This window comes from Homo sapiens, chromosome 1 (assembly GCF_000001405.40).
Source record: "Homo sapiens chromosome 1, GRCh38.p14 Primary Assembly".
NCBI lineage: Eukaryota > Metazoa > Chordata > Mammalia > Primates > Hominidae > Homo > Homo sapiens.
Window position 1 is genome coordinate 20163055 of NC_000001.11, and position 26071 is coordinate 20189125.

Genomic DNA, 26071 nt, shown 5'->3' on the forward strand with positions numbered 1-26071 from the left:
TGACTTAGAACAGCAGCCTTTATTTAGCTCACAATTCTGCATGTTGGCAGTTTAGCCTGGGCTCAGCTGGACAGTTGTTTTGGTCTCAGCCAGGTTCCCTCACACATCTGTAGTCAGCTACAAGCTGAGTCTCGCTGAGCTCTCTCTCACGTGTCTGAAATCAGCTGAGACAACTGATCCAGGTGGGCTCTCATCCTCCAGCAGGCTAGCCCAGGCTTTTTTGCAGGGTGGGGGCAGCTGTCCTAAGAGAGAGTAGACATGCCCTAGACCTCCTGAGGCCTAGCTCAAAACTGGTAAACCATCCCTCCCACAACATTCTATTGACCAAACTAAGCCACAAGACCAGTTCAGATTCATGGGATGGGGAAAACAGATTCTGCCTCTTGATAAGAAAAGCTAAGAATGACATCATAAAAACTGAGGACGCAGAGGGGCAAGGAAAGTGGTGGCTTTGTTGCCAGCTAGAGCTGGGCATGGGCCTGGCGCTCAAGTCTGCTCTGTGTCCCGGTTTGCAGTGGGGGTGAAGAGAGAGTTTGGGGTAGATCCTGGGGCTTCTCCCCTCCTGGAAACCCTGGGATGTGGGGTTGGGTGCATCTCTATCCCGTCCCTTTGTTTTACTGCATCATAGCACTTACTACAGTCTAATGTGTCTCTTACTTCTATATCCATGCATTTGTAGTCCTCCCCACTCCACAGAATGCCAGCTCCTGCAGGGCAGGCATCTCATCTTTCCCATTTCTGCTCTCCAGCCCTCTGATGCTGAACGACAGGGAGTCCCCTTGGTCAGAATGCTGAAGGGTGAGCTGCCCTGCGGGAGACATTTTGTCCTCCCTCCCAGTGGAAGAACAGGGGCCTGTTGGGGATGATCTGAGAAGGCTTCCTGGAAGAGCAACACTAGAGCGGATGCTGGATGATGAGAGGGACCCTGTGGTGTCCCTAGCACCAGGGCTTATGTCTGCCACACCTGGGCTGGCTGGAGAACTGCTTGAAGTTTTTCTCATAGGTGGGCAGGCTCTCTTTGAAGCAGTGCACGGATTGCTTGTCACACTCACAGGCCTTCAGCCTGCAGTGGCAGCTGGCACCAGGACCAAGGGTGCATCCACCTACAGAGACACAGAGGGTCACTGGGGGCTCCCAGCCCAGCCCCAGGGTTTGGTTCTAAGGCTGGGGAGAACTGGGAGCTCACTGTAAGGGGCCAAGGGTTAAGGACAGAAAGGAAAGCCACTGAAAGGGATACGTGTATGCATATGTGTGCATGTGTGTGTGTGCATATGCATTTGTGTGCGTGCATATGCATTTGTGTGCATCTGCGTGCATTTGTGTGTGTGTATGGTCGTGTGTGCATGTGCCTGTGTATGTGTGTGTGCGTGTGCATGTGTGTGTTTAGGGCTCTCAGCCACAGCTTCCCTGCATCCTCAAGCCCTTCCCTGATCACATCTGGGCATCCCACGAGTGCTGGAGAAGCCTAGAAGGAATCAGGAGGCAGGGGCGTGGGCTGCGTGGAGGGCCCTGAATGGGTGCGCCCAGGCAGCACACAGGCCAGGGTGATGGGAGCATTTTCCCAGAGCTCATCTCCTATTTCCAGCTGCCTGCTTGACATCTCACTTGGATGTCTCAGGCATCTCCAACTTGAGGCGTTCACAAGGGAACCCTTGATATCCTAGTGCTCCCTCTGCCTGTGAGCCCGTGATTCACCCACATTCTCAGGAAACTAGGAGCCGACCTCGCTGCCCCCGCTCCTTCCACATTTCATGTCCGGTCTGCCAGCGGGTCCCGCTAATCTTCTCTGTGTTTAAAATAGCCCATGTTCTGCCCTCTTCTCTCTATGTCTTTGGCCACTGCCCAAATCTCTGTCATCAGCAGCTCTTCCTCCTTCACGGAAGGAAATAAGCAGGGACCTTCTCAAACTGTAACCCGAGTTACGTTCACTCTCTGGCTTACAGCCCCAGTGTGGTTTCCTATTCGGGAAAGACATGCTGAATCCTTCCGTGGCCTCCGTGGCCAGGCACACTTGCCGGGATGCCACCCTCACCAGCTTCTCCACCCTCATCGCCCTCCCCCTCCACTCTCCCAGCCTCCCTGCTCTGGGCACACCAGCCTGTTTCATGTCACAGGTCTTGCTCTGTCTTGTCTCTGGGCCTTTGGACTTGCTGTTCTTTTTGTCTAAAATGCTTCTCCCCAGGATCTGCAAGCAGTGGGATCCCTGCCACTGTTTGAGGCTTGGTCAAATTTCACCTCCTCAGAGAGGTGCTCCCTGACCACCTGAACTAAAGCTCTCTCTGGCCATGTCCTCCATACCCGTTTGTCTCACTCACTGTGCTTTTTACTTAACTTCTCTTATTGGTTTCCTGGCTTGTGTCTGCCTCCCCTCAAAGAAGCATAAGCTGTGTGCGGCTGAGACCTTGTCTAAGTCATCACAGTATCCCCAGCATCCAGGACAGATGCTGCACAGAGCAGATGCTCAATAGAATCCATGAATGAAGAATAAGAGAAGGGATGAATGAAGCCTCTATGGGCCTTTGGGGTTCAGTGTCTGCACTTTGGCCGAGTCACCACTAGATGGGAACCTTTTATTTACCTACTAATCAGAGCTGTCGCACTGTGTGCATGCACATGTGTGTGCATGTGTGTGCATGCGCGTGTGTGCATGCGTGTGCCTGTGTGCATGTGTATGCTTGTGTGTGCAGGTATGTGTCCATGTGTGCATGTGTGTGTATGTGCGTGCGCATGTGTGTGCGTGCATTGTGTGTTTGTGCGTGTGTGTGTGTGTGCGCGCGCGCATGTGTGTTTAGGGCTCTCAGGTACAGCTTCCTCTTTCCAGATAACTCCACCCTAGTCCGCTCTCAGGGTTGGCAGTGAGGAGGGGAGGCCACCAGACGCCCGGTTTATGACCTTGGGCAAGTTAGCTTCAGCTTCCTCATCTATGAAATGGTGCTAAAACCTAGTCATTTCAGAAACACATGACACTGTCCCATTCCTGGGGTGGTGGTGAGGGTCACTGGTGTCTACCGACAAGTGGTCCGGATGTGCCTGGCACGCAGAAGGTGCCCTGTGGGCGCTTGCTGCTGTTCTCAGGGTGATGCACTCCAGCTCCACGTGGAGAAAAAGCAGCGCCCTGTGGAGCCGGCAGAGCTGCCTGCAGTCAGTCTGTTTGCCACTCTCCCTCTGCAAAGTCTGCGTCCTGCAGAAGCCGTCCTCCCACGCCTCCCTGGAACTTCTCACGTTGTGCCAACACCACTGAGCTTCCTGCCCTCCCTGCTCGCCCGCAGGGAATCTGCCAGGGATGTTCACTCCTCTGGCTCTCCGGTTTTGCGGCTCCCGCCACTCCCACTGTTCTAGCGCCTGGGTGCCCTCTGCCCTCCCACTCCCCCTCCTGCCTCTGTGAAGATCCTTCCAGATGCATCAAGCCCAGCTCCCCAGGTAGCCCCCACTCTCTCAGGGGACGAGGGCTACTTGAGCTCAGGCCCCCCAGCCAGCCTCACTGTCCAACTAGAGGGCCTGGTCCAGTTGCTGTCGCCCTGGAAACACTTTTCTCACCTTCCTCAGCCACCTTCTTTCTCGTCCCTCTCTCTTTCTGTTGGTCTCACTGTCTTCTGGTCCTCTGTCTTCTTCTATTCCATCTCTTGTTTCCTTTGCCTCAAGTCTCTAGCTCTCCTTCCTTTCTCCCTGCCCCCTCTCCCTTTCTCATTTGGTCTTCCTGTCCTTTCTAATGCGTGCATCTGACATCCAGTTCTACTTCAGTGGCCTGCCCCATTGCCAGGCCTTCCAGAACTGATCTGGAGCAGCAGTCTTTTGCAGTGGACTGTCACTTCTGTGGCATTCCTCAACCATGGACCGGGCCTGTCATGACCTGGATGATGAGACAGCCCCAGGCCAAGAAAAACCGTCTTTGGAGGCCACCTTTTAAAAACAAGCTTAACTCCAGATCTTGCATCTTTTAATGTGCTAATGGAGAAACTGAGGCATGAAGAAAGGAAAGGAGGGCTTTGGAATGACTTTCTTGCTGCATGAACTACATCTCCACAAATAAGAAGAGGCAGCAAGTCTGCATTCCTGCCTGTGGCTGTCCCAGGCCCCAGTCTAAGCCCCTCGCCTCAGCCCTGGTTGTCTCTGAATTCTCTGAGGGGTGTTCTTGGTCAGTGTCAGAACTCTGAATACTCCCAACTTCTCCGCTGCAGCCCACACCTCTCCCTTGGGCTCCAGACTTCAATAAGCACGTGTCCACCTGCCTACCCCTTACATGTCTGACACGTGTCTCAAACTCAAGGTGACTCACACCAAACTCTTGCTGTCTTCATCATCAGCTCTCCCCCCATCTTCACAAGCTCAGTATTTGGTGCCACTATCTACAGCCACTCAGGCCAGGAGCCTGGGGTGCAGCCTCTGTTCCCTTCACACCCCACGCTGAACCCATCAGCAGGTCCTGTCGGCCCTGACCCTACCCGCACAGCATTGCCGACATCTGACACTTCCCATCCCCATTGTCACCATGCTGATCTTGGCTGTGGTTGTGCCTCCCTGTGCTTTGCAACAGTCCCCTAATGAGGCCCTTCTTTCCTCCTTGACTCTCTTCTTTCTCTGCACTGTAGCCAGAGTGATCTTTCTGGGGCAAAAGTAGAGCATCCTCTGCTTCACATGCTCCAATGACTCCCTTGCCATTGACATAGAAGGCACGTGTCTCATCCTGTCCAACCTCATCTCCATTCTTCCCCAAGGCTCCTCTGCTCCTAGCACATTGGCCCTGAGGTCTCAGACCAAATGCCACCTCCCCAGAGAGGCCTTCTTCGACCACCTAAAGCAGGCACCCTTCTGTCTCCTGACCCCCAAACGCTGTCATTTTGCAGCCTGTCGCTTTGTCTGAGGTGCTTCAGAGCACTTGGCCCTGTTTGAATGTGTCTTTATTAATGAATATGCTGTGGTCTCTTGTTCTTTTTGGAACACAAGCTCCTTCCAGGCAAGGATTTTGTCCTCCTTATTGCTGATCTTCTGACCCCAACATGCAGTAAAGGCTCTTTGCTGACTACATTGCCACACTCACATGGCCTACAGGCCAATGCCAGCAGCTGACCCCTTGGAGACAGGAAGCCAGGTTCTTGGGCCAAATATGCTGCTTCTGTGCTTTGGGGTGTCAGGCAAGTTGCTTCCCTCTCCAAGCCTGTTTCCTCAGCTTTCAAATGGTGATAAAGATACGTGCACTGCCTATTTCATGAGTGCTTTTGTTCATCTACTCATTAAACAAACAAGTATTGAGTTCCCAACATGTGTCTGGTCTTTGGCTAGGAGCTGGGGGCACAGGTGCAAGCCAGCAGACCCCACACTGCTTAGTCCAGGGGCATCATTCCCTGTGGGCTCTATGAGAACCAGTGCCCTCAAACAAGACAGGCTTGCTCCTTGCTCTCACGGACCTTTCTAGTCGGTGGGGGAGAGTCGAGGCACACAGACACAGAGAAGTAAACAAGATCATTTCAGGTAGAGATGAATGCTGGGAGAGACAGTGGGTAGCGTGTCAGCGAGTGGAGGCTGAGATGAGGAATATATTCAGCAGTAAATGAGAAAAGTCTTTGCAAAATACAAATTCCAGCAGTTACCATTTTCATCTTCCCGCTTTGGCAGAGGGAGGCAGTCAGAGGCCGGGAGATGCAGATGATGGAGTTTCAGTTGGCTGGAACCCCATCTCTGCCTCCCACACCGGGTCCTCCCTGTACCACACATGTATGTGCATGTGGGCGGAGGGGGTGTCACTGCTGAGTGAGCTTAAAGTCCCTTGCAAAAATGCCAAGTACTTATGTAAGCCCACTCAAAGGAGGGATAACCACCTCCCAGGTGGCCTGAGGGCAGCTGTCCCTACCACCAGGCAAATTGGGCCCTGGGCTCTGGTGACAGGCCTTTCTCTGCACTGATCTCTCAGTGACATTTAGAGTCGTGGACAGACCAAGTTGTTTTCTTCCTCTCCCTCCCCTGCTTACCTACTGCATCCCAGAGCAGCCCCCGGTTGCTAGGCAACCTGGGACCAGGCCTGGGTGCAGGATTTCAGAACTCATGGGAGGCTAGGGAGTTGGTTAACTCTTGCAGGGGCAGCTCTTTGAATGGAGGTGCAATTAGGATAGGGAAATAGGTTTTTCTGTTGTTGCTTTTCTTTTTTGAGGTAGGGTCTCACTCTGTTGCCCAGGCTGGAGTGCAGTGGTGCAATCACAGCTCACTGTGGCCTCATCTCCTGGGCTCAGGTGATCCTCCTATCTCAGCCTTCTGAGTAGCTGGGACTACAGGTATGCACCACCACATCTGGCTAATTGTTTGTATGTTTAGTAGAGACAGGGGTCTCACTGTGTTGCCCAGGCTGGTCTCGAACTCCTGGGCTCAAGTGATCCTCCCGCCTCAGCCTCCCAGAGTGCTGGGATTACAGGTATGAGCCACCACACCTGGCCAGGAAAGGGGTTTTATTCCATAAGGGGTTACTGACCATAGCCCGATGGGCACAAGTACAGAGCGGACTCTTCAAAGAAACAGTAATAAAGAAAATCCCAGTGCCGTAAGCAAAGAGGAAAAGAAAACTTGGACAAAAAGAGGAATTTCCACATCTAAAAGGAAGGGCATTAATGAAGCACCTACTGTAGGCCAGCCACTGTAGCTGGGTTGCTTTAGCTAATCCTTCCAGCAGCCTTATGAAGTACAGGCGATTCTCTCCATTTTACAGATGAGGAGATTAAGGCCCAGCTATTAATACAAGGGGTGGAGCTGGAATTAGACCCAGTGTTGCCCGACTCTGAGGCTTCTCAGCAGGAACACAAAGCTCCGGGGCCTTACAGCGAAGCAAACTCCATCTGCCCCTCTTTCCTTCCCTGGGCCAGGGCAGAGCATTCTGACCAGTTTGCTGCAGATCCTGAGACTTACACTGTGTGAGGGCCTCCAATCATGCACACACCAGCACCCTCCACAGGGGAAGCTAGTGTGAGACAGGGCACCCGGGGTTTGAATTCCAACTCTTCTTTCCCTGGCTGTGTGGCCTTGGCCATCGTGCTTAACCTCTCTGAGCCCCAGGGTCCTCCTTGATAATGGGAGATAATGCTCACCTCAGTGGTTTATCATGTGAGTTCAGGTGCTGTGCGTACAGCATCTATCACAGAGGCTCATACACTATAGCTGTTGTTATTGTACCCATTTCATGGATGGGAAAACCAAAGCCCAGACAACTCCGGCCAGACGGTATGTTCCAGAGCACTGAAAAGGTTCAAGACACATGCATCTTAATCTTGTCTGTTTCTTGGATCAAACTCATCCCCTCTGTGGGTCTCAGTCTCTTCATTGCTACAAGGAGGGGCTGATCTGGATAATCTCTAAGGGCACTTTAGCTCTGGAGTTTCCACAAGACTGTGAATGCCAGAAGAGCAGGGACTGGGTCTGCTTTATTCTGTGCCCCTGGCCCCTGGCACAGCACCGGCACTGGGCGGGTACCCAGTGGATGCTCGCTCAATACTGGGGCAAGTAAACCAATGGGCCTGGGGCTCAGCACATGTCAGCAGCAGACTCTGGATTAGAACCCAGATCACCTCGCTCTCAGCCCTGCTCCTGGGGGCAGGGGCTTGGCAAGGTGGGGGTGGGGATGACAGGGGCTGGCCTGGTCCTCACGGGCTGGGTCAGCTGAGGAGGCGGGTGCTGATGCCCTGGTACTGATGCGGAAGCCTCCTCCCACGCTAGTGCCCTGAGCAAGGCTCTGGACTCAGGAGCCCTGGTCAAGGCTTCAGGAGCAACTGGCTGCTTCTGCTCTGAAGGGGCAACGTGGGAAGAAAGTACAGCCCAGGCCACGTACTTTCGGGTCCAACTCCCAGCCCTGGCTGGCACCTCCCACCACTGCCCAGCAGTGCCACTGCCTGGGGCTCCAGCCTCTGCTCCTCAACCTTTGCTCCACTCTCCCTCATCTCCTGGGGTCCTGGGCTGGGAGGGTGAAGAGCATTGAATAGAGAAGCTTCCCTGGGTGCAGAGAGCCTAGGCCAGCCCTGGCGAGTGCAGCCAGCCCACAGGAGCCCAGGGTGGAGGCTTGGGCTGGGCCAGCCAGGTGTCCCCACCCCTGTGGCAAAGACAGGTGGGAAGAGGCCATGGGAAACTCGATCCCTGGAGGCCACCTTCTCCAGTCCCCTCTCCCCATCCCTCCCACCAGGCCCTGATCCCTTCCCCTCTCCTGAACATGGCCTTGGAGGTGTCACAGAAAAGACACTTTGCTTTAGGCCTGAGAAGGACCACACCAGAGAGCTCCAACTCAGGAAGTCTCCTTGAGCTCACGTGGGGAACAAAAGGGGGTTCTTTCCCTGTCAACCACGTGCTGGTGGCAGTGGGCAGGGCAGGCCAAGAGCTGAGGCAGGTCCTCCCGGTGCAGGGGTCCGAGCCCCCAACCCACACAGCTGGTGCCAGGGAGACCTCACAGTCCTAACTCTGGGTATTGGTGTGTGCTGAGCTGAAGTGGTGGGTTGGGGGAGCTCAGGAGACCAGGGTTCTGAGCCCTGGAACCCACTACGGGATGGAGGATGTATCTCCCGCCATAGGGGATGAGTGGCAGAGAGGTGGTAGTTCCCTGACCTCAGGAGGAAACAGAGGAACTCCAAGGTGCACTCACAGCTCTGAATAAATACACCTGGGAAGGAAAGTGATTCATGCAACCCCACGAGGCCAGGCAGGAAGTGAGCCACACACTATAAGAAGCCACTTCTTCTTTTTTTTTTTTTTTTTTTTTGAGACGGAGTCTCGCTCTGTGGCCCAGGCGGGAGTGCAGTGGCGCAATCTCGGCTCACTGCAAGCTCCGCCTCCCGGGTTCACGCCATTCTCCTGCCTCAGCCTCCCGAGTAGCTGGGACTACAGGCGCCCACCATCACGCCCGGCTAATTTTTTTTGTATTTTTAGTAGAGACGGGGTTTCACCGTGTTAGCCAGGATGGTCTCGATCTCCTGACCTCGTGATCCGCCCGCCTCGGCCTCCCAAAGTGCTGGGATTACAAGCGTGAGCCACCGCGCCCGGCCAAGAAGCCACTTCTTTATTTGTTGCTCTTCACCCTCCCAGCCCAGGACCCCAGGATCCACCCTGGCTATGCTGGAAAGGATGGTGCTCACGAAAGACTACTGTCCCGTGCCTCCAAATGTGCCTGCTGTCTAGGCCAGGATTGCCCTGCACATACCCATACCCTACCAGCCGCAGAACACGCTCCGGATGCCAGGGCCACGCCCCATGTGAAGGGCACTTGATCCACTTGCCCACATGGCTCCTTGAATGGTCTCAGTAACATGTGAGTCCCCCTTCCCTTCCCACCTATTTGCTTTTGTGGCCCTGGCAGCACCTATCTTAGTGCTTGGCATGCAGTCGCCCTTAATAAATATTTGTCCAACTGGAAGACAGCTGAGCCGTTTTGTTAACAAAATCACAGAAACAAGGAAACATGTTCTCAACAGCAGCAGTTGTCAAGGGAAGCTTCAAGATTAGCTCAAGTGAACAAGTATTTACTGAGCATGTACTATCTGCCAGGCTCTGGGCCCCCAGAGAGTTCAGGAGGTACACTCATGGGTGGGAGAGACCAGGGCAGGATGAGCACGGACACTCTGAGAAGCTCTGGAGCATCAGGAGAAAGCTCAGGAATATCTCCTTCCAAGCACTTGGAAGCATTTCATTTTCTAAAAGATCTCTGGGTCAAAGAGGAGGTGAACGTTAAGGAAAGGCCCAGGTTAAAAGACATTTCCATACAGAAAAGGCTACTCACAAACCACTGCGCCATTGACGATGTGGAACTGGTAGCTGTTCAACACAGGCTGGCAGCTGAACTCCTTCAGCTTCTCGTAGGGAGAGGGAGATGAGGGGCTGTGCCTGGAAGTGGGTCCCTCAGGAATCTGCTGGAGGACCTTATCTGGGGACTAGAAAGGGCTCACCTGCCTCCTCCTCTAGGCAAGAAGGCATTGAAGGTGAGGAGGTGAATTATCAATAATATTAAACATAGGCCAGGTGTGGTGGCTCATGCCTGCAATCCCAGCACTTTGTGAGGATAAGGCAGGAGGATCGCTTCAGTCCAGGAGTTTGAGACCAGCCTGGGCAACATAGGGAGACCGCCTATGTTTTTTAAGTTTAAAAAAAAAAAAAAAGCCAGGCATGGTGGCACCAGCCTGTGGTCCCAGCTACTCAGGAGGCTGAAGTGGGTGGATTGCTTGAGCTCAGGTGACGGAGGCTGCAGTGAGCTCTGATTGAGCCTCTCCACCCCAGCCTGGATAATAGAGCAAGACCCCGTCTCCCAAAAAATAAATAAAATAAAAAATAATAATAATAACCAGTAGCATTTCCTGAGCCCTCTCTAGTATCTGTTGCTATCTCATTAGCTACTCATAGAAACCTATAAAGTACAATCATTGCTGCCCTTTTGTAGGGGAGGGACTGAGATTCCAAGAGGCCAATTTCCCAAACTTAGGCAGCTGGAGAATGATAGACCCAGGACACAAACCTAGGCCCATTCATTCATTTAACACTTTTTACTGAGCACCTACTGTGAGTCAGGCACTGTAACGGTCTCTGAGGAGACAACTGTCTGTAAAAGCCGACGTAGTCCCATTCATGGCACCCAGAGTTGGCTGGGGGCTGGATGGGAGAGCACTGGAGGAGAAATACCATCTGGAGCATGGGCTCAGTCCATGTCCTCAACCACTACACAAGGGACAGGAAGGCAGAAACTTAAGCTTGGATTCTAAGGCCTGAAAGGCCAAGAAAAATGTTTCAGTCTCCCTCTCTCACCATTCCCATCTGCAAGTGGGGGCTCTGCTGTTGATCAGCTTTGGCTAATGATGTTCAATTTCTAATCAGCCTTTGGACTTTGACAGGGGAGGCACAGACCATCAAGGAGAGGGGACAAACTTTGAAATAGGCAAATTCTCGTTCAATCCTAACTCTGCCACTTAGAAGCTGCATTGCCTTTAGGAGGTGGTTTAGCAACTCACTGTCCTCACCTGTCAAATGGGCTGGTATCACTGTCTCGTGCATTCCCTGCGAGAATTAAATTAGGTTTGTATGCCAATCGCCAGTCCCAGTGCTTGGCACATAAGGGCATTTCATAAGCGTCAGTTGCCCTTCCAAGGCTCTGAGGTCCTCCCATGGTTCCATGAGCCCCACCCACAAGACTCGAGCTCCAGGAGTGATATTTAAGGCCCCACTGTGGGGACATGTTTCTCCATACTAGGTTAAATGTGGCAAGGAACATTTTGCTTTCTTATGTCTTCAAATGAATTGACACGCAAACTGTCCCGTTTCTTACCTCCCCACACGTACATTCACCAGATGACACCCACCTCTACTTTTTCTAGGAACTCACACTCCCCCACCCCCATCCTTTGGAGTAGGCCTGAAGCCAGGTTTGTGCCATGCAACCTCACCCAGATGGACAACTTCTCCAAACTGGGCCACTTGGATTCCCTCTCCTAGAATATGGAATTAGGACTAGTGAGTCAGTTGTGCTGTGCCTATAGTCCTAAAAGCTGGAGAGCTGAAAGCACAGCACTTTTACTATGAGGATGAAACAGCTTCTAGAGCTCTGGGCAGGACCAACGGCATAATTGCAGAGACTAAAGCAAAATGAAAACATGAGGCCCTTTATTAAGAATTTCAAGATGGTGGCAGCAGAGCAGTAAACCATGTTTAGGCCCTTATGAGTGCCAGGCCCTGTGAAACTTTACAGATCACACGCTCAAGAAGCTGGCCCTGACCCTTATGAGTGTTGGGCCCTGTGAAACTTCACAGGTCACACACTCAAGAAGCTGGCCCCGACCCTGGGTTTCTCAAGACCCATCCTCCAAATCCCGTTCAGTTCTTCCTTCCATTAGCCTGAGTTGTTTTCTGTTATTTGCCAGGCAAGAATCCTAACACCCTCTCTCTGGCTTTGAGCATGAACTTTAATGCAAAACAAATGATAAGTGGCCTTAGAGCCTCTGCACCCACCTGTCAGTGTCATCCACGGGGATCCCTTTATCCCCAAGCCCACAGTAGCAGCCATATCCGTAATATGAGAAGAAGGCACTTCGCCCCGTGATGTGTTTGACCCTCCTCTGAAACTGCCAGAAACTGCTGTGGGTGGGGGCTGCCACCACCGATGAGAAAAAAAGGAAGAAGGAAGTTGCAATGAGCATGATGCTGCCTTGATGTCCCCTCCCCTTACTAGAGTGCTGAGCATTCGAAATATCACCAGATCCCCAAAGCGAAGTGCAAGGGGCATGGCTGGAATCACCAGCCTCTTTCCTGGGGAATAAAATAGGTTCAGATTTGCCCCTGTAACACAGCTAGTTTTTTGCTAACCCAGATGAATACCCAGTTTCCATGAGGTTCAGAACAAGGCTTTCCCATCAACCATAGTCTTCCCCCTCAAAGCAAGAAACCACAGTTCTAGGCAGAACACCCTCGGGTCTGATGCAACATGAATGGCAAAAGTTCAAAGCCAGAAACGCCAGTCCCTCCAGATGTCATCAGGCCTTTACTATCTCACAGGAGAAACAAAATACTTAAGAGGCAGGAAAGGTATCCTCAATTATTATTTTTTTAAATGACAAGTACACATGAACTCAGCTGTTTTTGCTTCTACAAGATGCTTATGAGAGTGGGCACAAATGCATACACAAAATGGTTTCCTGAAGCATTATCTGTGATATCAAAAAATTGGAAACCACCCACATGTCCACCGACAGGGGGATAATAACAAAATTATGTGTCTCAAAAATAAACTACATTTGATAGCACTATCTCTAGGCAATTGGGATTGAAGAGAGAGAAAGAAACAGGCAACATTCATTTTATACACGTCTCCGCTGTCTCATGTCTTTTCATAATAAGCGTGTGTTCCCTTTCCTTCTTTTTTTTTTTTTTTTGAGACGGAGTTTCGCTGTTGTTACCCAGGCTGGAGTGCAATGGTGTGATCTCGGCTCACTGCAACCTCCGCCTCCCGGGTTCAGGCAATTCTCCTGCCTCAGCCTCCTGAGTAGCTGGGATTACAGGTGCCCACTGCCATGCTTGACTAATTTTTTGTATTTTTAATAGAGACGGGGTTTCACCATCTTGGCCAGCTGGCCAGGCTGGTCTCGAACTCCTGACCTCAGGTGATCCGCCCGCCTCGGCCTCCCAAAGTGCTGGGATTATAGTCATGAACAACCGCGCCCGGCCCAGCATGTGTTCCCTTCCTATTATGGTGTTTTGAATGTGTGTGGGTAAACGCTGTATAGAGGATGTATATCAAACTCTTAAGAGTGGTCACATCTGGATGTAGGGAAAAAACTGGGGTCTGGGGAGGATGAGGAGGAGCTTTACCTTGTTGCTATATACTCATTTATTTTACTTTTTAACTATAAGCATGTAGTAAATTTGCAATAAAAATACAACAAAGACATGAACTTGAAGAAGAGAAACAGAAATAGAGTTTGGGGGAGTTTTCTCAGGTGCCTTCGATCTCACTATCGTGTTCAGTCTAAACGGGGGTGTGGCGGAAGAAACCCATGGGCGGTCACTGCTGCCCAAGCAGTCCCTGGAGCCGCACTGAGGGGCTGCAGAGGCGGTCATCCCTGCGTACAGGTATCCTCCTGCACTATCACCTTGCAAAGTGTAAATTCCACCACTCACTGTGGGGAAAGGAAGTCTGTTTTTGACATCTTTGACTTAGGGACTCAAAAGTTATTGTGACTCAATTGAAAGAGACAGGAAAATGGATCTGGACAAACCTCCACTCAACGAATCCAGCAAAAGAGTCTATCAGTCTCCAGTAGACCCCAAACTGTTTCCCAGTAGGTCTTTCTTCACTTTGCAGAGGTAAGCAATCGGATCTCCCGGCAGCAATGACTTATAACTACCAATTATCCCATAAGTCACCATAAAAATGTCTTTCTGATAAGCATTAATCATTCTTAAATTAGCTGGATATATGTCTGCATTTTTGTTCTGAATCCAAATGGCCTTAAATAAAGGCTACTAGCATCCAAAGGAAAAAAGACTCTTGAGGGTGAGGGGGGTAAAATAGTAGTCAAACTCCCTTTCTAGCAAATGGTTGGCAACCTCTGATTTCCTAGACACTTTATAAGATCCCAACACTGGGATCAGCCCATTTTATAGCAGAAACAGAAGCAAGAGGACGTTGGTGGGAGCCCGTTCCTTTCCTGATTCTTTTCTGCGGGACTTGTGACTTCCCTCACCTGGTGCCACCTGGAGAGTCCCCCCTCCCACTGACATAAACAGGAAGACAGAAGCTTGGTGCTGACCCACCAAGCTCTCTACTTACAGCAGAAGAGGAGGAGGGTGAGGATGGCAATGACCTTCATTCCTGAGGAGACCAGGGGGTCTGAGGTTCTACAGCCACGCCTTCACCTGTGTGTGAGGGGTCTCCCAGCTGAACCTCTGTTCCAGGACAAAATGACCAAAATGAGGCAAGGGTATTTGGGTGCAAAGCCCTAATTGTAGTGCCTTGGAAAGACCTCAGCAGAGGACTCAAAGAAATCATTTTCAAATCTCATTCCCTTTGAATGTGGTAACCTTTCTGGCATTTAGATCTGAACATATAAAAATAAGAAGGGTTCCATGGTTTTGAAAGTGCAAATGTTGGTTTGGTTTTTTTTTTTCCAAATTTCTTTCTTTGGCAACATCATCCCTTCATCTCTTCTTTTTTTCTTTTGAGGAGTCCATATTTCCTCTGTTCCCGAGTTGGAAAGGCACCTATGTTGTTCATAATAGAAATCCCACACAGGAATTCCTAGCTTGGTTTGCATCTAGTCCCACAGTGCCTTCCTTCCTTGATACCCAGGCATCATATTCATCAACTTTACCTCTCTGCACCTTGGTTTCTTCTCTTGCAGAGTGAGACTAGAAATTCCTGTCAATAATTTCAAGCCTTTATTTTAAGGGCTTCACAGGTATTACATGGTTTGACCCTTACAACTCCTTCTGAGGTTCTATTATCATTTTGAAGTTGGGTAAACCGAGACCCAGAGAGGGTGAACAAATTCCTCATGATCACATAGCTGTCTACTTCACAGGCCCATTGTGGGACCTGCTGGAATAATGAAAGTAAAACTGTTTTGTACTATCAAATGCAGTCATAGGTAGACACAGAATTCATATTCCGATTAGTATGGGTAATGATACCCATATTAGAACAGTAGAGAAGAATGTGGGTTGCAGCCCTGCCATGGAGCTGCCAGGGATCAGCCAATGGCTTTCTTTACATACAAGTGGTCTTTATAGCCCCCATCATAAATCAGGCTAAATCTGGTAACGTCAGGACTTGGAGTGTGAAACAATAGCTCGGTTGAGCCTAGAGAAGTTGGCAGGTGCAGAGCTTGGGCTAGATTTACACCTGGTGGCAAAGCTTCCAAGGAAAACTTCAAAATGACCATCCTGCTGCAGATCCCTGGGAGAGTTAATCAGGGTGTCTTTGCTATCTTCCCCCTTTGGCAACATTCTGGTGGATGCTGCGAGGTCGGGCCCTGACCAGGCCTGGTCCCAGCCAACCTTCACTTCAATTGCTGTGCGGGATGTTTTTTAATTAGGTTCTGTCTCTACAGGCTTGCTTCCTTTTTCTCTTTTGAGTCTAAAAAAAATCATGTGCAAGTTTAGCCCACGAAAAAGGGGCTCAGTTCTTTTGAATGAGCAGGTGATACACTTTAGAGAAACAAAGAAAGGGACCTGGGTGCATTACTGGTCATGAAATCCGATAGACTCTTATTAAGCACCAACTATGAGCTCTTCTAATGAGAACATTCTGACCCAAGGAAGCTGCCAAGCTGGCTAGAGAGACCAAATAGGTAAACAGAGACCAAATATAGCCCCAAAGCCCCATGTGGGCTGCAATTCTGTTTGGTTCTCCATTAGTTCTCGAATGCTTCACACAGTCCTGGCAGGCCCCCTCTTCAGGGCTGGGGTACCAGCTGCTGCTGACGCTGTCCCTCACTGAGAACCACTCTCTGCTGCAGGTACCGCGTGGCCCAAGGTTATGGCCCCTCCCAGGGAAGACAGGAGAAGGAGTCTCTAGCCAATCCCTGGCTGGGGTGATAGTTTAAAGGGCCATCCCTTGCCTTTTTCAGGATAGCTCTGAAAGGCGGTCCCAGCCCCAGAGCTCCCTGTGGCCTCAGCAACTGCCTCTGTGTGTCAACTTCCCCTCTATGTCAGTTTCTCTGTGTGTGTGTGTGTGTGTGTGTGTTAGCTTGTTCTTCTGTGTCAGCTTCTCCCTCTATGTCAGTTTCTGTGTGTGTGTGTGCGCGCGCACGTGCGTGCTAGCTTGTTCCTCTGTATCAGCTTCTCCCTTTATGTTGGGCTCTGTGCGTGTGTGTGTCAGCTTCTACCTCTGTGTCAACTTCTCCCTTGTGTGTCAGCTTCTCTCTCTAGGTCAGCTTCTCTGTGTGTGTGTCAGCTTCTCCGTGTCAGCTTCTCCCTTGCATGTCAGCTTCTCCCTTTTGTGTCAGCTTCTCCCTCTATGTCAGTTTCTGTGTGTGTGTGTGTGTGTGTGTTAGCTTGTCCCTCTGTGTCAGCTTCTCCCTCTATGCTGGCTTCTCTGTGTGTGTCAGCTTCTCCCTCTGTGTCAGTTTCTGTGTGTGTGTGTGTGTTAGCTTGTCCCTCTGTGTCAGCTTCTCCCTCTATGTCAGTTTCTCTCTGTGTGTGTCAGCTTCTCCCTTGTGTGTCAGCTTCTCCCTCTATGTCAGTGTGTGTGTGTGTGTGTGTGTGTGTGTGTGTGAGCTTGTCCCTCTGTGTCACTTTCTCCCTCTATGTTGGCTTCTCTGTGTGTGTGTTAGCTTCTCCTTCTGTGTCAACTTCTCCCTTGTGTGTCAGCTTCTGCTATGTCAGCTTCTGTGTGTCAGCTTCTCCCTCTGTGTCAGCTTCTCCCTTCCTTGTATGTCACCTTCTCCCTCTGTGTCAGCTTCTCCCTCGTGTGTCAGTTTCTCTCTGTGTGTGTGTTAGCTTCTCCCTCTATGTCAGCTTCTCCCTTGTGTGTATGCTTCTCCCTCTGTGCCAGCTTCTCCATTATGTGTCAGCTTCTCCCTCTGTTCCAGCTTCTCCCTTGTGTGTTAGCTTCTCTTTCTATGTCAGCTTCTCCCTTGCATGTCAGCTTCTCCCTCTCCCCATTCTTCCCTTGCTCACTTCCCTACAGCTGTATCTCCTGGAGCCTCCCAGCAACATACTTTTTTTGCATCAGAGTCTGTTTCTAGGGAGCTCAGCCTGCATCCATGTGGAATGATAAGCACTGCTCCAGTGACTGTATAAATGCCTCTGAGCTCAGAGGAAGGAGCAGTGAACTCTCTTGGGAAGGTCACAGAAATCTTCCCAGGAGAGGTGGTATTTGAGAAGGCCTTAAATTCCCCTTAAGTTTATGCTCTGCTCCTGTTTACTCCTCACTACAACCCTACCAGGCAGGTTCTATCACATTCACATTTGACAGAGGAGGAGACCAAGTCTCAGAGAGCGGAAGTAACCTGAAAAAATCCACACAGCTATGAAGTGGGCCAGGACTTAAACTCTGGTCCCTTTCTCCAAGTCCAGTGCTCTTTCTCCTTGCCAGTCTCCCTGCCTAGACCTCTTGTTCGTGTGGCATTTTGAAGGTTTGAGGGCATTTTCATGCACTGACCTTCACAGCTATGACTCAGGCATGGTTCTCTCCATTTGACAAGTCATTTGGGGCTGCCTACGATTGTGCTGAAGCTAAAGCAAGAGCACAGGACCCGAGGGCCCGAGGCTTGATGAGGGGCAAGAATGTAGAAAGCATGGCATGGCCTCCCACGCCAGCCCCTAGGGCAGCAGCCAGTAAGTTGCAGGGTCCCTAGACGCCACCATCTGGGTCCTTTCCTGGACCCATCAATTCAGCTTTTATCAACAGTAATGAAACACTGGTTGGCTTTCCTCCCCATAGAGAAAATAAGATGGATGGAGCCTGCAAGCTCATTAAGGACAGAGGTCAGGTCTGTTTTGTTCACCTCTTTATCCCTAGTGCCTTCTTATCAGTGCCTGGCACAAACTAATACTACCCACGATGATGGCTAACGTATATATCACACTTATGCCTTGCAGGGGTTCTGAGCACTTTACATATATTTACTCACTAAATCTTCACATCCCCTAGCTAGATAAGTGCCATTATTACCCTCATTTTGCAGATAAGGAAACTAGGCATGGAGAGATGGGCAGTAAATAAATATTTGAGGCATGAATGAATGAGTGAATGAGTGTTAAGAGTCTTATCATACTTCAAGTTGCAGAAATAAAAACAATAACTGCAACCCCTTGAGTACCAACAGGAGGCTAAGCACAGGATGTGAATTAGGATTCTCCTTGAATCCTCCCGAATCCTCCCGATGAGGCATATACGATTCATTCCAGTTTACCAGTAAGGGTAATTGAAGCTGGCACAGGTCAGGTCATTTGCCCTGCAAACTGAGAGGTCCCAGACTTAACCCCAGGTGCGTCTGACTCCATAGCTGGCAATCCTAATCCTTGAAAGCTCTCCTGCTTCCGTGCCTATCCAAAACACCACCGAGAAGGCAAAACCCAAAACAGCCCAAGCAGCGAAGCAGGTATCACAACACTCTTAGACTCTTGTTTTAGATGCAGTTCTAACAAGCTGCTCAGCTTCATTTCTCAGGCCCAGCAGCCGGACAGGAATGGAGTCAGAGCAGCTTCTCTTAATAGGAAGGTAAGCAAGGGGTGATTAAAGCGATAATCAACGAAGCCTAGAAGCCTGGGTCACTGTGTGCTGGGGCAGCTGACTCCATCCACATCAAACTAGTGCACCTGGAGCACAATTATTGACTGCGAGTTGCCAAGGAAAGGTAGCATTGTGCAAGAGACTGCAAGGGTGGAGAGCAACTAACTCAGGGGCCTATGTCAAAGAAGAGGGCTGGAGTTGTTCTGCCACTTCCTGACAGATTTAAACAATCTGAGCCTCACCTTCCTCCACTAGAGAGGTGGAGACAATGATTCTGGCCCCCCACAGAATGCCAGCAAGATTCCACAAGCTCCTGAAGGTGAAAATACTTGGTCAACAGTAGCCAAGGTGAGTTACAGTGTTTGATGTGTTCTGCTTAACAAGACTGGAAAGCAGGCTATACATTTTTGGATATTTTCCAACAATACGGGGAAAATAATAAAAAGCTGTGGTACAGTCATGCACCATATAATGACATTTTGGTCCAATGACAGACCACACATACGATGGTGGTCCCATAAGATTATAAGGTAGCTGCGCTATATAGGCATACCATTTTTTTTATCTTTTATACCATATTTTAAATTGTACCTTTTCTATGTTTAGATCTGTTTGGATACACAAATACTTACTATTGTGTTACAATTGCCATTGTGTTACAGTATTTAGAACGGCAACATGCTGTACAGGTTTGTGGCCTAGGAGCAACAGGCTATACCATATAACCTAGGTGTGTAGCAGGCTAGACCATCTAGGTTTGGGTAAGCACACTCCACAATGTTTGCACAATGAAAAAATCACCTAGCAATGAAGTTGTCAGCATGTATCCCCATGGTTAAGTGACCCATGTCTGTACTTCAAGGGTTAAGTTTCATCATCCAGAAACTTCCCTCTTGCAGATCCCCTTAGGAAGCTGATCACAGGAGCCATGACTAACTGCCAGCCTCTTGGCCTTGCTACTAGAATATCCACCTGGTTCACCTTCTGCTTAAAGGTTATCCATGATCTCAATCCACATGTCTAATGAGACCAAGGACAGGCAGAGCAGGACACTGGCTATAGACTCTGAAATCTAGAAATCACTAATTCAAAATGGGGCCAAACACTCTGTGGGGACAAGCCGCTAAGAAACCGGGGCCCCCGCCTTCAGCAAGCCCCTGGGGAGGTCATTTGGACCCCAAGCCAAATATGGTTGGGGAGGATACCAGTTAGCAGCTTGCTGGATCGCTCAGTGGAAACGCTAGCCTTGGAATCAGCACCACCATCATCATTGCCGAGCACGTATCACAAAGTAAGCATTGTGTGGACAAGGCAGGGGATTCCGAGACAGGCAAGTTCCTGCCTTCAAGGAGCTCATAACCTACTGAAGGAGATGTACACTGTAAGTGAAGATGATGCAACAAGAGTTAGTAGCCCTCACTAAGCACTTGGCACGTGTGTTACCTCATTTCAGCCGCACAACAATCCTGTGCTTATCATCACCATTCTAGAGATGCGGAAACTGACATCCAGCGAAGGTAAATCATTTACCTAACGTCTTCAGCTGGCAAGTGGTGGAGCCAGGATTGATACTCAAGCTTTGACGTCAGAGGCCATGCCTGCAGTCCCCACGACCAGTGCAACGGACAGCACAGATAAGGGCCATGGGGGAACACGCAGGTGAGGAGCTTGGGGGTGGGACTCTGGGGTCCAGGGTGGGCTTTGGAAACTGCTGGATGCAGGTTGTAAAATTGCTCTGCTGCTCCTTCACCAGGGGGAACCCTGAGGCTCCACTGTTTTCTAAAGCAAAGGAGGGCTATGATGCCTCCATTAAGGAGCGTTGTGAAGATGAAGGGAGCCGACCTAGGGAGGGTGCACAGCACCATCTTGGGCATGTTCCACTGGACCAAAGGCGACCAGAGAGAGCACATGAGCTTTTGTGGGGAGGCTGTGGTCAGGAAAGGGCTTCACGGAAGAGGTGGCTTTTAAGATGGGCCTTGAAGGATCAGTCATTTTGGCTTAACTTCAAGGAAGAGAGCAGGGTGGGGCAGGCATGGGCAAAGACACTGGAGATGAAAAAGCTGGGGCCCATCTGGGGAGCAAGCTGGCTGCAGCCCAGGGAGAGAGCTGGAGAGTAGATTGGGACATGGCTAGAAAGGAAGGTGAGTCCACATTTCAGCTGGCAGGGCAATGACCTCTGCCCATGTTTACTGAGATCCACTCTGGGTATGTGCCAGACACCAGGCATTATCAGGTCTGTCCTTTGAAGACATCCTCTTTATAGAAGGTCGGGCACAAAGGCAGCAGAGGCACAGCAATGGACTGGCGCCTTCCTTTCCTCCTCTCCTGCCTCCCCCTGGGGCTGGGCATTACACAACACTGGAGAGCAAAAGGCAGGTACTGCTGACGTTAACTGCATGTACTGCTGACATTAAACAGACCGCCATTTCACTGTGCACTGGCAAAGGCGCGCGTGCGTGCGCACACGCACACACACACACACACACACACACACACACGGTGAGAAGCCAATTTGATTCTCCAAAGGATTGTATAATTCTTAGGTGATTTTAAAATAGCTGATGAAGAATCCACTTTAATCTTTTTTGGGTGGGTGATGAAGGGCTGAAGAGCATCGCTAAGACACTTTTGACAGAATCATTAACAAGAAATAAGCCGTCAGCACTCAGTTGCAAAACCAGCAGCTCCTAAAACCACCATCTTTTACACATTCCGAGGGCCACAGAGGCTTCCTGGATGACCAGAGTGTGTGAGGGGGCAACCCAAAGAAGAGGCCTGGCCCAGACCAGGCCCTCCCCAGCAACTCCCACGGGTCACAGACTTCCCTTCTGAGACGAGCAGAAACACCACCACTGACATGATCTTCTTTCACGACCCATGGAGGAGCAATTCACCTTGGAGAGAATCAGAAGACATTAGAACTGGAGGGAGGGAGGAAAGCAAGGAAGTGTAGGCAGGCAAGTTTGCAGGTCTGATGGCAGAAGGCTGAGGAAGTTTCCATATGATGGCTTCTATTTTCTCTCTGAAGAGGGCAGTAAAGGTATCTTCTAAGAGGGAGGAGGGAGGGAGGTGGGAGAGGGAGAGGTGGGAGGTTTCGCAAGCAAAACAACGTTTTGAAATAGCCATTGAGAAGAAAGGAGAGGCTGGGCGAGGTGGCTCATGTCTGTAATCTCAGCACTTTGGGAGGCTGAGGCGGGAGGATCACTTGAGCCCAAGACTTCAAGACCACCCTCAGCAACATGGCAGAACCCCATTCTACAAAAAATAATAAAAATTAGCCAAGCATGGTGGTGCACGCCTGTAGTCCCAGCTACAAGGGAGGCTGAGCTGGGGAGGTCCAGGCTGCAGTGAGCTGTGATTGCACCACTGCACTCCAGCCTGGGTGAAGGGGCGAGACCCTGTCTCCCCTTAAAAAAGGAAGAAAAAGAAGAAAGGAGGGAGAGAGAACCCAGTGGTCGGTTGGGGATGGAAGTGCAGGGCTGAGAGTCTAACTGAGGTTAGAGACCTCGTGTTTCTGTTACACCAAGGTGTGTGGCTGGCCAAGACTTCTTCAATACCCGTGTGTAGGTGGACTGGTTTGGCTTCAGGTTTCATCAGATGGAAGGAGAGTAGGACTCGGGCAGGGAGGATCCTTTTGAGAATGCCGAGGTAATGGGCCAGGATAGGGAAGAAGCAGATTGATATCGAGGGGGAAAGCGGAGACAGCAATGGACAGGAAACCCAAAGATGGTGAAAAACAGATACAGCGGAAGTGACTCAAGTGGCTGGAAGTGGAAGAGATTGTGGCTGGGGACATCAAAGGAGGTGCAGATGCTGTTGATAAGGTTCCCAGTGTGGCCCCGGAGTGGGAGGCTGATGTGAAAAGAGGTCAGGGAACTGGCGCTGAAAGGGCTGTACTGAGGATGGGGGCCCTGCTCCCCGCAACTCAGATACCCTAGAAGCATCCACTCAGAGTTTAGGGTTCCGAGAATCCATCAGTCCCACAGCCTCATTTTAAAACCAGGGACACTGAGAGGGTCAGGGCCTGACCCAAGGTGAGAAACGGATTTTGAGACTAGTGGTGCTGCTCCCCGCTCCTCCATGCCCCGGCCAGGGCTCTCCCTCTCCCAGACACTCTCCCCCAGAGAGAAACAGAGGCGGTGACGCTAGGAAGAGGAGGAGAGAAGGAGGCCGCGGGTCCCTGTCGCCTCCAGGCCAGGCAATCCACTCCAGGCTCGCAATCCACCGACCTGGAGTTCACGGCCTCCGCCCTCCTGGCCCAGCGGCCCCCACCCGACCCCACCCGACCCCACCCGACCCAGGCCGGTTCCGGTCACGCCGGAAGCACGTGGCCCCCCACCCTGCGGCGTTGCCCGGGAGACCAGGGTTGTTTACCAGCAGGACAGAGCCCGGGCGCAGGCGGCGGATGGAGCGGAACGGCTAGGTGAGAGCGGCTGCCCGATCCCGCGGCCTGCCCTTGGCCTCCGCCAGGCCTGGAAGGGGCCGGGGGAGGCCAGTCCCCGAGACCCCAGCACATCACCCGGGAGGGCCTCCCCAGACCCAGCCCGGGGGACGCAAACCCCGGGAGACAGGCGAGGAGCCTGGAGAAAAGTCTGCTCCCGAGGCAAAGCAAGCCTGGCCAGAGCTCACCTTTACCAAAATAGGGTGACTCCCGGGCTCTGCAGAAACCGAGGGACCTATGCAACCGCTGGGCCATGCCCTCCAGGCTGGGATGTAGCGACGGGGACACAGACCCAGGGAGAGAAAAGGATGTCCCAGTCTCCGGCAGGGCAGAGACGAGAACCAGAGGGCCCCTCCCCCAGTCCTGTGCTCTTTCTCTGAAGTCAATTCTCGCTTTCTAAACGCTCTTTCTCGCCCCTCCCCCAGATCCCTCCTCTGCCTCTTAAGCCTGTTGCCTTCTAGGGCGCTGGAACTTGGACTTAATTGAGTTATCCCCACCACCTCCCTGCCCTTCTGACGCTGGAATCATCCCCAGTTCTCTATCCAAACATTTGATCACTTGGTGGCTTGTGGTTCAGTGTGGCACTCTGCATAGGACAGTGTATTCTAATCCCTAGTTTGGGGTAGAACTGGGAATGGTACCAGAGTTTTTTCATTCTCAGGCCAACCACCATCTCCTGTTGGTTCTTCAGAGCATTTTTATCCTGAAAGCCTGGTGGGGGTGTGGGTTGGGGGGGGCGGGATGGCAACGGATAGGATTAACTGATACAGTTTTAAAAGACCAATTCAAATGTATGTATCTTGGTATATACCAGCAGATGGTATGTAGGTGGTTATATTTTACTGCATATACTGTAGGCTTAGATTTGGGTTGTGAGTGAAATAGGGTGGTCTGACCCTGTGGTGGGTGGTGGGCACCCTTAGAAAGCAGGAGCCCTGCTTTAGCTTCTCCTATCCACATTTCCTTCTTTCCAGTTGATTTGGTGGTGAATCTTAAGGAATGGGCACCTGCCCTTCTGGCAACTTCTTGGAAACAGTTGGCAGTGTTTGCTTCCTGACTCCTAGCAGGCCGCTGGGGTGCAGCTATTGTGTTTAAGTAAACAGGCCACTCGCCTATTCAGCTTGGCAGCTTGATAGATGCCTACGCCTAGATCTTGTCAAATCGGTTTGTGGTTGAGTGGCTGCCAGGCCTAGAGGTGGTGAAGTGAACTGAGCAGGGAGAATCATGGCTGCTGCCTCAATCCTGGACTGAGGGTGGTGGGCAGAGTTCAGGACCTGAGGTGTGAATATAAAGGCACAGTTGGCCCAGATCCCCAAACACCTGTTTCCCCCACCGCCCATCCCTGTGTGATGGGTGCTGGGGAGAGCTGGTGTTCCCTCCGTGTAACAGATGGTCCCTGTGCTCGGGAGGAGGCAGTGGGTTATGAAAGCAGGTTGGATATAATGGTTTTACCTGAAGGAGGTGTTAGTCTCTAAATAACCATGAGTGGGCTCCTAGGAATTAGTCATAATTGAGGTTTTTCTCTGAGATAGCTCACAGTCATGTTATCTTATGACCAGGGTGTCTTGAATATGACACCCCCTGAACATGGATAATTATATGGAACCAAAAGGTATAGAAAGTGCATGCACATACTCAAGTTTTACTGTTAAAAATAATCCCACAGAGAGCCTGTGAGAACACATGACTCTCCTCATCAAAGTTGTTAAGGAAGAGGTTTCTAAGTTACCAAACTCACTGACAGTTAAACCTTCCTGAGGCATGTGTGGGTGTTGGAAGCCAAGCCTGTGATAATTCTGTAGAAGCTGTGGCAAATTAATAGCCATTCCACAAGTGGGGAGGGTGGGCCGAGAGGGGCGTGGGTTTGCCTGTGGAGCTTATCTTTGGCAGAACAGTTGGACAGTTATGACCTTCTCCTGCCATCCTGAGTGAAAGTGCAGAGCTGCTAATTGCCAGAGAAAGACTTGAGAAGGAGACTAAAGGGGGAAAAACACATTCTTCACAGTTGATCAGAAAATAGATGAAATTAACAAGGAGATGGGCAGTCTTTTTTGATGCCAAAAGTTTGCTAAGGAGAAGGCTCCTGAGCTACTAGCAGCCAGACTGGGTGTGAAAGACGAGGGAGAAGTGGAAAATGGGAGTGGAGAGAGACTCAGGCTGTGAGTGGAATGCAGCAGACATAGAGGCCTTTAAAAGAGGGTAGCTTTGTCCAAGATTTTGAATTGAGCAGGACATCAGGAAGATATAGGGATAATGTGTTGCGTTTGGTCCTGGTCTGAGTGGAGAGGAAGCAGATACTCCTTAAAATTAGGCAGCAGTGGTTACATGTGCAGAATGGTGAGGTTAGAATACAAACCCTGAGAGGCTCAGATTACATTGTTCAAGATTTTGTGATGAAAGGAGTGAATTTGCAGGAAGTGCAAATCATTCTGCAGGAAGTGAATCTGAGGTAAGTAAAATGTGGAATTAGAAGAGAAGTGATCAACTCGGGATTTTATTTTCACATGTTTTGAGGCAACTGCGTAGGTGGTAGCTCATTGCAGTCCACCTCCCTGCATTTCTGTGCAGTGGACAGGGCAGGCATGAGTTTCAGGACTCACCCAGCTGGTTAACCAGGAGTAGAATCACCGAGGACACACGGGGAAAAGTTCTAGAGCAAAACAAGGAAGGCTTTTGAACTTAGCACATAGGAAGCACTAAACAGACAACCCGAAGCAAACAACGACGACAACAAAAAACGCTTAACATTTAATTAAGTTTCTACCATGCACTAAGCCTGGTGCTTCCCACCTTACCTACATTATTTCATGTTATTATCCTCATGTTACAGACAAAAAGACTGATGTTCTGAGGTACTTAAGTAATACCTCTAAGATCATTTAGCTAATTTGATAGATGAGGAAAGTTTTGTGCCAGAAAGGTAGAGTGATTGCCCCTTGATCAGGTAGCTAGCC

At 50.7% G+C, this 26071-nt stretch overlaps 2 protein-coding genes across 7 annotated transcripts in view, besides 2 other annotated features; one reads left to right on the forward strand and one right to left on the reverse strand.

Annotated features, from left to right (window-relative positions):
* PLA2G2C (phospholipase A2 group IIC) lies at nt 1-23464 on the reverse strand. Of its 4 annotated transcripts, NM_001316722.3 has the most exons (6): nt 23306-23464; nt 14270-14385; nt 11953-12091; nt 9740-9837; nt 965-1103; nt 1-242 (listed from the first exon to the last, which is right to left on the reverse strand). In NM_001316722.3, exons 2-6 carry the CDS (start codon nt 14307-14309, stop codon nt 206-208), a joined length of 453 nt encoding a protein of 150 aa, NP_001303651.1. In that variant the 5' UTR covers nt 14310-14385; nt 23306-23464; the 3' UTR covers nt 1-205. The 4 variants fall into 4 exon arrangements, 3 of the variants coding, with proteins under 3 accessions (NP_001303651.1, NP_001354898.1, XP_047276172.1); NM_001367969.2 differs by having other exon boundaries at nt 1-1103; nt 9740-9843; XM_047420216.1 differs by lacking the exons at nt 9740-9837; nt 14270-14385; nt 23306-23464 and having other exon boundaries at nt 11953-12899.
* Nucleotides 8404-8633: an enhancer, noted in NCBI's record as "active region_316". NCBI's record gives its function as "activates an Ori minimal core promoter by ATAC-STARR-seq in GM12878 lymphoblastoid cells {active_cell/tissue: GM12878}" and the evidence as "EXISTENCE:reporter gene assay evidence [ECO:0000049][PMID:35858748]".
* The window catches only part of UBXN10 (UBX domain protein 10), a 12720-nt gene continuing 6925 nt past the window's right edge, over nt 20277-26071 (forward strand). Inside the window, exon 1 of one of the 3 annotated variants that reach the window (XM_011540699.4) lies at nt 20277-20335. The gene's annotated coding sequence lies outside the window, so the exon portion shown is untranslated. Of the gene's footprint in view, nt 20336-23041; nt 25567-26071 lie in introns of those variants that run through there. The other 2 variants (XM_005245742.5, NM_152376.5) reach the window with 2 other exon arrangements.
* Nucleotides 22132-23331: an enhancer, noted in NCBI's record as "CDK7 strongly-dependent group 2 enhancer chr1:20511679-20512878 (GRCh37/hg19 assembly coordinates)". NCBI's record gives its function as "activates an origin of replication core promoter dependent on BRD2, BRD4, P300/CBP, MED14 and CDK7 cofactors, with strong dependence on CDK7, by STARR-seq in HCT116 cells {active_cell/tissue: HCT116}" and the evidence as "EXISTENCE:reporter gene assay evidence [ECO:0000049][PMID:35650434]".